This window comes from Homo sapiens, chromosome 1 (genome assembly GCF_000001405.40).
Source record: "Homo sapiens chromosome 1, GRCh38.p14 Primary Assembly".
In the NCBI taxonomy this organism is placed as follows: domain Eukaryota; kingdom Metazoa; phylum Chordata; class Mammalia; order Primates; family Hominidae; genus Homo; species Homo sapiens.
Genome location: NC_000001.11, coordinates 152,393,550 through 152,405,227, shown reverse-complemented (window position 1 = coordinate 152,405,227; position 11,678 = coordinate 152,393,550). Strand labels below are relative to the sequence as shown.

The window sequence follows — 11,678 nt, the reverse complement described above, 5'->3', positions numbered from 1 at the left end:
AAGTAGAAAAACCAACCTAATTTTGAAAAGAGTGAAAAAGGTGGGGTAAGAAGGCACAAACACACAAAATAAGAAATAAGAATGGGCAAAAGATACAAACAGATAGCTCACAAAAAATACAAATGATGCTTAAATATATGAAAAGATGCTAAAGCTTGTTTGTAATACTAGAAGCATAAACCAAAACTATACTAGTTTGAGATACCATTCTCACTATCAGCTTGACAAAAATCTACAAGTTTGAGAATAGATGATGATGAGGTAAAGCAGGCATTTTCACACCTTCTGGTGGGAATGCAAAATGAGCCTCAGTGGAGAGGAATTTGGTACAGTTCAGCAATACTACATGTGCCTGTTTTGTTCCTGCTGTTGCTTTGGTGTCTGAAGTAGTGCCTAGCATTCAATAATTATTTGTTAAAGGAATTGAATATCCTAATCTTTCCTGTCACATACATAAATTAACATAATCCCTACACAGACATGTGACTGTGGAAACATAGACATAATCAAGCTCATAGCAAATAAGAAAATGGAGTTTCTTTAGTGTTGTCAAAAGTTATGCAGTTAGAAAGAAAGAGGCAGAAATAGGACTAAACCCAGGTCCTCGGACTCTCAACTCAGTGTCAGGTCAAACCTCACAGATAAGAAAGGGCACCAGAGTGTATGAAGATCCATCCAAAGGGGCTGGGGAGGAAGCCGTAGAAAGTGGTCCTTCCACTTCTCACCTCCAGCCTTAACAGGAAGTCTGGCCATGAAAATATGGAGAAGACACCATCTCAGCATCCATGTTCCTAGGACCTTGCAAGAATAGGAAGATTATGAGTGACCATTCCTTTCAACAGTTAAGGTTTGACAGATGTGTCTATGACTCAAGAAGGATGTTCTCTCAAAGTAGTTCAGAGCCCAGAGGCCTAAGAGAGGGGCCCTAAACCCCTGTTTAAGCATTCATGTAACATTCAAGGCAACTAGGCTGCTCCATCTCAGGCCCACCCCCTCCATCTCCTGTAGGGACTTACTGGCCATCCTTGACTTTTAAAGTTTGCACATAGAGGCTTCTTTCAAAAAATGTGCACGTTATTTTAGACAAGAGGGAAAATTTGTGGAAAATACAGAGACTTGATGGGAATGAAGTATTTACACTTTCTGAGACAGACTCTATTTTGTTCAAAGGATAGAGTAATCATCCTTCCAAATCATATCAAACACATTAAAATGTACACACAGACCACTTAAATACAATTTTTGCTGACAATTTTTTGAAAAAAATTTTATAGTTTTGTTTTTGGAATTAGGACATAAGTTGTACATTTGCCTCATTTTAGCTATGACTTCTTTGCAACTACAGAGCACGTTTTTGAAAAAATATATACATTAAAATTGCTTAACAAGTAAGAATTTTTTATTACTACTAAATTTAACAATAAATGAGATTCACAGAGCTTTATATCTAGACATTTAAATTTAAATGTTTATAGATTTCCATTGCACATTTATTTTGGAGCTGACACACAGGTATACCTATGGAAAGATATCTACATTTTAAATATTTTAAACCTCAAATTGTCAGCAGGTGGCCATAACTATCCATGTTTTATTAAAATCACATAAAACCTAGGTACAAAAGCACCACTGATTATTGATCTAGAAAAACTGCATGAATTATAACAAACTGTCTCTCAGACCACAGTGCAATCAAACTAGAACTCAGGATTAAGAATCTCACTCAAAACCGCTCAACTACATGGAAACTGAACAACCTGCTCCTGAATGACTACTGGGTACATAACAAAATGAAGGCAGAAATAAAGATGTTCTTTGAAACCAATAAGAACAAAGACACAACATACCAGAATCTCTGGGACACATTCAAAGCAGTGTGTAGAGGGAAATTTATAGCACTAAATGCCCACAAGAGAAAGCAGGAAAGATCCAAAATTGACACACTAACATCACAATTAAAAGAACTAGAAAAGCAAGAGCAAACACATTCAAAAGCTAGCAGAAGGCAAGAAATAACTAAAATCAGAGCAGAACTGAAGGAAATAGAGACACAAAAAACCCTTCAAAAAATTAATGAATTCAGGAGCCGGTTTTTTGAAAGGATCAGCAAAATCGATAGACCACCAGCAAGACTAATAAAGAAGAAAAGAGAGAAGAATCAAATAGATGCAATAAGAAATGATAAAGGGGATATCACCACCAATCCCACAGAAATACAAACTACCATCAGAGAATACTACAAACACCTCTATGCAAATAAATTAGACAATCTAGAAGAAATGGATAAATTCCTCGACACATACACCCTCCCAAGACTAAACCAGGAAGAAGTTGAATCTCTAAATAGACCAATAACAGGCTCTGAAATTGTGGCAATAATCAATAGCTTACCAAAAAGAGTCCAGGACCAGATGGATTCACAGCCGAATTCTACCAGAGGTACAAGAAGGAACTGGTACCATTCCTTCTGAAACTATTCTAATCAATAGAAAAAGAGAGAATCCTCCCTAACTCATTTTATGAGGCCAGCATCATCCTGATACCAAAGCCAGGCAGAGACACAACCAAAAAAGAGAATTTTAGACCAATATCCTTGATGAACATTGATGCAAAAATCCTCAATAAAATACTGGCAAACCGAATCCAGCAGAGCATCAAAAAGCTTATCCACCATGATCAAGTGGGCTTCATCCCTGGGATGCAAGGCTGGTTCAATATACGCAAATCAATAAATGTAATCCAGCATCATATAAACAGACAAAAACCACATGATTATCTCAATAGATGCAGAAAAGGCCTTTGAACAAAATTCAACAACCCTTCATGCTAGAAACTCTCAATAAATTAGGTATTGATGGATATCTCAAAATAATAAGAGCTATCTATGACAAACCCACAGCCAATATCATACCAAATGGGCAAAAACTGGAAGCATTCCCTTTGAAAACTGGCACAAGACAGGGATGCCCTCTCTCATCACTCCTATTCAACATAGTGTTGGAAGTTCTGGCCAGGGCAATTAGGCAAGAGAAGGAAATAAAGGGTATTCAATTAGGAAAAGAGGAAGTCAAATTGACCCTGTTTGCAGATGACATGACTGTATATCTAGAAAACCCCATTGTCTCAGCCCAAAATCTCCTTAAGCTGATAAGCAACTTCAGCAAAGTCTCAGGATACAAAATCAATGTACAAAAATCACAAGCGTTCTTATATACCAATAACAGACAAACAGAGAGCCAAATCATGAGTGAACTCTCATTCACAATTGCTTCAAAGAGAATAAAATACCTAGGAATCCAATTCACAAGGGACGTGAAGGGCCTCTTCAAGGAGAACTACAAACAACTGCTCAATGAAATAAAAGAGGATACAAACAAATGGAAGAATATTCCATGCTCATGGGTAGGAAGAATGAATATCGTGAAAATGGCCATACTGCCCAAGGTAATTTATACATTCAATGCCATCCCCATCAAGCTACCAATGACTTTCTTCACAGAATTGGAAAAAACTACTTTAAAGTTCATATGGAACCAAAAAAGAGCCCGCATCGCCAAGTCAATCCTAAGCCAAAAGAACAAAGCTGGAGGCATCATGCTACCTGACTTCAAACTCTACTACAAGGCTACAGTAACCAAAACAGCATGGTACTGGTAACAAAACAGAGATATAGATCAATGGAACAGAACAGAGCCCTCAGAAATAACACCACATATCTACAACTATATGATCTTTGACAAAGCTGAGAAAAACAAGCAATGGGGAAAGGATTCCCTATTTAATAAATGGTGCTGGGAAAACTGGCTAGCCATAAGTAGAAAGCTGAAACTGGATCCCTTCCTTATACCTTATACAAAAATTAATTCAAGATGGATTAAAAACTTAAACGTTAGACCTACAACCATAAAAACCCTAGAAGAAAACCTAGGCATTACCATTCAGGACATAGGCATGGGCAAGGACTTCATGTCTAAAACACCAAAAGCAATGGCAACAAAAGCCAACATTGACAAATGGGATCTAATTAAACTAAAGAGCTTCTGCACAGCAAAAGAAACTACCATCAGAGTGAACAGGCAACCTACAAAATGGGAGAAAATTTTCACAACCTACTCATCTGACAAAGGGCTAATATCCAGAATCTACAATGAACTCAAACAAATTTACAAGAAAAAAAAATGACCCCATCAAAAAGTGGGCGAAGGACATGAACAGACACTTCTCAAAAGAAGACATTTATGAGCCAAAAAACACATGAAAAAATGCTCACCATCACAGGCCATCAGAGAAATGCAGATCAAAACCACAATGAGATACCATCTCACACCAGTTAGAATGGCAATCATTAAAAAGTCAGGAAACAACAGGTGCTGGAGAGGATGTGGAGAAATAGGAACACTTTTACACTGCTGGTGGGACTGTAAACTAGTTCAACCATTGTGGAAGTCAGTGTGGCGATTCCTCAGGGATCTAGAACTAGAAATACCGTTTGACCCAGCCATCCCATTACTGGGTATATACCCAAAGGACTATAAATCATGCTGCTGTAAAGATACATGCACACGTATATTTATTGCGGCACTATTCACAATAGCAAAGACTTGGAACCAACCCAAATGTCCAACAATGATAGACTAGATTAAGAAAATGTGGCACATATACACCATGGAATACTATGCAGCCATAAAAAATGATGAGTTCATGTCCTTTGTAGGGACATGGGTGAAATTGGAAATCATCATTCTCAGTAAACTATCTCAAGAACAAAAAACCAAACACCGCATATTCTCACTCATAGGTGGGAACTGAACAATGAGAACACATGGACACAGGAAGGGGAACATCACACTCTGGGGACTGTTGTGGGGTGGGGGGAGTGGGGAGGGATAGCTTTAGGAGATATACCTAATGCTAAATGACGAGTTAATGGGTGCAGCACACCAGCATGGCACATGTATACATATGTAACTAACCTGCACATTGTGCACATGTACCCTAAAACTTAAAGTATAATAATAATAAAATAAAAGAAAAAGAAAAACTGCATGAAAAACTCAAATATGCACAGTAAAAACACCACAGTATACACAGGACTAAATTTTAAAGCAAGTGCATGGAATGCTGAATCAATCTTACACACAGTTTCCAATATTAAACTGATATTTATTTTACTTGAGGATGATGGAAATGTCCAAAAAGCATGATTATGAGAGGGTAAAATGTCCATCCTTACATATTTTTGTATGCCAACTAGTAGAGTCCTAAAAAATTAGCATTTAGAAAATACTTAGTAAAAACAGCTTTTAAAAGTTCACCTAAGAGATACATAAAATTAACCTGTTTTTCATGACAATTTATTCTCCCTGGTTATCTCCAGATTCAGTTTTCTGTGCCTCTTCAGCTTTAGTTTCATCATTTTCAGCTGGTGCAGTACCTTCCTTTCCAGCTTCCTACTTTTCCTTTCTTCTCTTTAGCACCTCTGCTAACCTTTGCTCCAGGTTCTTTCTTAGCAGATGTTTTTCTTGGTTTGGGTCCAGGTTTTGGTGGAGGAGGTTTTGCTGACAATCTGGGAGACCATCTTGTGGGCTCCTGTTTAGTTACTTTGGAGCCATCTTTGCCCTCTGTATTCTCTGGAGACTTTCTCTTCTGCATAGTGGCTATGTCGGTGTAGCAAAAAGTAAAGCAACGGGCTGGAACTGCTGGCGCCACCTCTGGATGCTGCCTCTGCCGCTGCAGCTGCTCACGCACAGGGCATGGCATAGCCCCTATCTATTTATTTTTGATTCAAATATTTTTGTTGGCTCTTGCAGAGCTCATAAGTCCCAGTCACATTGGATTGGTCATAGTGTGTAAAATGGCCCTGTCCTCAGGGACACTCAGGGCTGAAGACTCACTACAAAGGCCCAGAAAACCTCTTTCACCAGGTAGCTTCCCAGTCTGCATAGACAGCAAGTATACTGTGCTGCTGTCCCCTGGTGGCAGTTACGACTAATACCTGTAAAGGAGCTCTGGTAGTAAATGTGATTTTGCTGGAATAGGAAGGAAGGTGGCATCAGACGTGGGAATGGGCTCAGTGGTGTGGTCTTGGGCACAGCAGCACCCAGAGTAAGTGGCCCTGAACCCTCACTAGTGAAGCTACCAGTAGTGAGAGCAGCCCCAGGCTGCTCTGAGCCTTGGGGCTGAGTGTGTGTGTGTGTGCATGCGTGTGTGTGTGTGTGTTTAAGGAGTGCCCTTCATGGAGCCACTCCTACTGGCAACTGTCTTCCAGCAACTATACATCTACATCATTTCCAGGGCCTTGGCACACTGTGTGAGGATGTCCTGATTATCCCACCTGGGAAAGCACATTTCTGGAGCAGTCCCTACAGAGAGGCAGGGAGGTCAACATCCTGTGGCTCTCCCTCCTCAAGGCAGAAAGTGATGGTCTGTGCACTTCTCCTAGGAGCCCTGAGACCAAGGCTATAGCCTGCTGTTGTCCTGGTCACTCACAGAAGGCTGTGGATTCAACTCCCAGGACTGATGTAGGCCACCACTCAGCTCTGTGTGACACGTCCTCAGTGTTCCCCATTTATCCACGAGCTACAAATAATTAATAAATGATGATTCCCTTGGCCACATCTTTAGAAAGTAAGCAGAGTTCGGGCTGGAATGAGCACATCCTATTCTTACCTACTTCCATTCAATGGAGGGAAAAAAAGCTAAGAAACTAAAGCAGCCGAATGGCTTTGCCCCTAGGGTCTGCATGAGTGGTGAGAGGCTTACAGATCCACAAGGCCCAGTTCTTTTAGAGGGGATGAGGGTGAGGGTGTGGGCCTGTTGGAACAGACAAGGCTAAACTTTCAAGGCAGCATCACCTCCTATCCATCATGGCTGAAAGGGGCCTCTGGACCTTCTTTTCACAGCACTAAACACCCTCCAGGGGAGAGGCTCCCCATTCCATGGTACTATCGGGTGGTTATGAGCCCATGGCTCTGGGTGAAATGCAGAGAAGACACTGGTTCTGGTTTATCTAGGGATTCTCTGGAAAAGAGCTGATACTAGAAAGTGACAAAAAGAGGAATACTTTTTGGAGAGGTGTCCTGGGTGGCAACATAGTAACATGTACTTTTGGAATTCTCTGGTGTTCTGTTTAGAAAAGAAAAGTAAATCAGTTAGGTAACCAGAGAGCCAGGTGGTGTACCAGACCCAGGATTTTTGTGTTTGTTTTGGATTTTTTTTCCTCTTATTTTTAGTTGATACATAATAATTGTACATATTTATGGGGTATAGAGTAATATTCTGATACATATACACAATGCATAATGATCAAATTAGGGTAATTAGCATATCCATCACCTCAAACAATTGTCACTTATTTGTGTTAGGAACATTCAGAATCCTCCCTTCTAGCTTTTAGAACATAGACAATAAATTATCGTTGACTATATTCACCATACAATGCTATAGAACAAGGGTACCCAAGTCCATGGTTTGTTAGGAAACAGGCCACACAGCAGGAGGTGAGCGGCAGCAGAGTGAGCATTACCGCCAGAGCTCTGCCTCCTGTCGAACACTATTGTGAACTGCACATGCAAGGGATCTAGTTTGCATGATCCTTATGAGAAGCTAAGACCTGATGATCTGAGGTGGAACAGTTTCATCCCTAAACCATCCCCTCAGCCCTTGGGGACCTTGGAAAAATTGTCTTCCACAAACCAGTCCCTGGTGCCAAAATGCCGGAGCCTGCTACTGTGGAACATTAGAATTCACTCCTCCTATCTAGCTGTAATTTTGTATCTGTTAGGCAACCTCTCCCAATCCTCCCCTCCCCTCTACTCTTTCCAACCTCTAATGCCCCCAATTCTACTCTCTACTTCCATGGGATCAATTTATTTTTACCCCCACATGCGAAAAAGAACACGTGGTCTTTATCTTTCTGTTCCTGACATTTCACTTAATGTAATGTCCTCCAGGCTCATCCATGTTGCTGTGAATGACAGGATTTCATTCTTTTTTAGACTGAATAGTATTTCATTTTGTATATACACACATGGTCATTATCCATTCATTTGTTGATGGACATTTAGGTTGATTCCATGTCTTGGCTACTGTGAATAGTGTGGCAAAAAACATGCAGTTGCAGGTATCCCTTTGATATACTGATTTCCTTTTCTTTAGATACATCCCGGGTAGTGGGACTGCTGAATTATATGGTAGTTCTATTTTTAGTTTTTTGAGAAAACTTCGTACTGTTTTACATAATGGTTGTACTAATTTACATTCCCACCAACAGTGTATAAGAGTTCCCTTTTTTCCACATCCTCACCAGCACTTGTTATTTTTTGTCTAACAGTCCTTTTAACTGGGGTAAAATGATATCTCATTGTGGTTTTGATTTTCATTTCCCTAATGACTAGTGATGTTGGGCATTTTTTCATATAGCTGTTAGCCATTTGTCTGTCTCCTTTTGAGGAATGTCTATTCAGATCCTTTGCCCATTTTTAATAGGATTATTTGTTGTTGAGTTGAGTTCCTTGTATGCTTTGGATATTAGTCCCCTATCAGTGAATAGTTTGCAAATATTTTCTCCCCTTCTACACGTTGTCTTTTTACTCTTTTGTTTCCTTTGCTGCGCGGAAGCTTTTTAGTTTAACATAGTGCCATTTGCCTATTTTTGATTTAGTTGCTTGTCCTTTTGAAGTCTTAGCCATAAAATCTTTGTTCAGACCAATGTCCTGAAATATTTTCCCTGTTTTCTTTCAGTAGTTTTATAGCTTTGAGTTTTATGTTTAAGTCTTTAATCCAGTTTGAGTTGATTTTCATATACGGTAAAAGATAGGGGTCTAGTTTCAGTCTTCTGTAAATGGTTATCCAGGTTTCCCAGCACTATTTATGGAAGAGGGTGTCCTTTCCCTAGTGTATGTTCTTGGTAACTTTGCTGAAAAATCAACTGGCTGTAAATATGTAAACTTATCTCTGAGTTCACTGTTCTATTCCATTGGTCTATGTCCAACCCAAGGTTTTCTCAGGCTTTGTATAATTTTGTACTGAGCAAGCAGGAACTCAGTCAATGCATATTTTTAAATTTCCTAAATAAAGAAATACAAATCCTTTTTTAAAGTAAGAAAAATTAGCTATGAACCATCATATATTTATCACAGAGAAATCAAAAAAGACACAAGCAAAGAGATTAATATTTTAAAAAACCAATACCAGAAATAACCACTGTTATTTAATTCCTCTAGACCCTCTTCTATAGGCAAATTACCATACAGACATCTATATGAAAGTGTATGTCTATATGTGCAAATTTATATGTAAATTATATCTATAAATTGTATATCTATATGCAAAACATACACAATATAGACCTTTTGCAAACTATATATGCATATACACCTATATACTATACAAATATGTATGATTGTGGAATAGCTTCTATGGACTATTTTCAGTGATTTAGGGCAGCCCATGTTAGTAAAGTTTGGTGGTTAGGACTGTGTGCTTGGGAGCAAGTTTACCTAAGTTCAAACCTCGGCTGTGTACCTTAGAAGAGATGTGTCCTTGATCAAGGCACATGCGTTAATTATCTCATCTCTAAAGTGGAGAAAATAATGGTATTTCCTCACAGGTAGTTGTGAGAATAGCTAAATCCATATATTTATTTAAAAGTGCCTGACACATGGCAGGGTAAGCCCTCAACAAGTCTTTTTTTTTTTCATCAACTTTCATTTCCTGGGGTACATGTGCAGGATGTGCAGATTTGTTACACAGGTAAGCATGTGCCATGGTGATTTGCTGCACAGATCAACCCATCACCTAGGTATTAAACCCCAGCATCCATTAGTAATTCTTCCTGATGCTATCCCTCCCTGCTCTGCCAGACCCCAGTGTGTGTTGTTCCCCTCTATGTGTCCATGTGTTCTCATCATTTAGCTCCCACTTATAAGTGAGAACATGTGGCATTTGATTTTCTGTTCCTGCATCAGTTTGCTGAGGATAATGGCTTCCTGCTCCATCCATGTCCCTGCAAAGGACATGATCTCCTTCCTTCCATCTTATGACTGCATAATATTCCAGGGTGTTATGTACTAACATTTTCTTTATCCAGTCTATCAAAGAAACTATCATCGGAGTGAATAGAAAACCTACAGAGGGGGTGAAAAATTTTGCAATCTATCCATCTGACAAAGGTCTAATATCCAGAGTCTACAGGGAACTTAAACATACTTACTAGAAGAAAACAAACAACCCCACTAAAAAGTGGACAAAGGACATGAACAGACACTTCTCAAAATAAGACATTCATGCAGCCAACAAACAAACATGAAAACAGGATCAACATCACTGATCATTAAAGAAATGCAAATCAAAACCACAATGAGATACCAATCATCTCACTCCAGTCAGAATGACAATTATGAAAAAATCAAGAAACAACAGATATTGGCGAGGTTGTGGAGAAAAAGGAACGCTTTTACGCTGTTGGTGGGAGTGTAAATTAGTCCAAACATTGCAGAAGGCAGTGTGGTGATTCCTCAAAGATCTAGAAGAAGAACTTCCATTTGACCTAGCAATCCCATTACTGGGTATATACTCAAAGGAATATAAATCATTCTATTATGAGGATACATGCACTTGTTTGTTCATTGCAGCTCTATTCACAATAGCAAGGACATGGAATCAACCCAAATGCCCATCAGCTATAGACTGGATACAGAAAATAAGTTTTAAGTGAAGCATTTTTAAGGCCATTTATAAAGCAAAGAATGTTTAAAGAAAGAGAAAAAGATACAAATGGTCCTAATCAGACAGACCATCACCCAATATAGAAGATTCTCATGGGCTAGACTTTCATTCTATGAATATAATTGTGGCTTCTAGCAGGTGTTCTAGACCACAGCTCAACCTGGGGATTTCCATCTCAAAGAAAACCTAAGGACTAGGGCTAAATCCATGTATTATTCTAAATGTACCAATGTAACACCAACCCTCCTGCCTTCTCTCCCAAGCCCCTGTCCTGTCCATCAGCTTCTCACTGTTCCATTTCTCTCCCACTCAAAACTAAGCTGCTAGATAAGAGGATATGAAATCGATCTCTAATTGGCTTATTTTCCCACAGGATTCAGGCAGAGGAAGGGAGGGCATGTGTCACTGGAGAGGGCATAGTCAACCATTTCCAATTATTGCATCTGACTTAGAGAGGAACATTTAACAAACTAAAACAATTGGAGCCACATTGACAAGAAAAACCTTTTTGTTGTTTTATGATACATTTCATCATGTATCATGACATACTCATCATTTAGGTTCTTTTTATTTTTATTTCAAGAGGAAGTCACTATCTGCAGAGGAAAAATCCCATATGCAGGCTGAAATCTACCTCATTTTTCAACACTAATCCCATATATAAATAGTCACAAATAATACAGAATGCTATGTTATATGCTGATTTGTATATTACTATGAATTTGTGAACACCAGATTTGTGCTAGCCATAATGTAAAATGAACCAGACTTAGGCTCTAGCCTAAGGAGCTCTAGTCAAGGAGCTAGCATGAAGTTAATAGATGAGAAATATATTGAAATAACCAAGGAATCTTAGCTCAGAGTGCAAAAACCCATGCCCTCTACCTGTGAACTCCCAAACTAATCTTAGCCTTTATATAGTTCCAGATAGCTCTATTACAGCCATCATC

The 11,678-nt window shown here is 39.1% G+C and overlaps 1 pseudogene; it reads right to left on the bottom strand.

Annotated features, from left to right (window-relative positions):
- On the bottom strand, positions 1,545-5,765 carry HMGN3P1 (high mobility group nucleosomal binding domain 3 pseudogene 1; annotated as a pseudogene).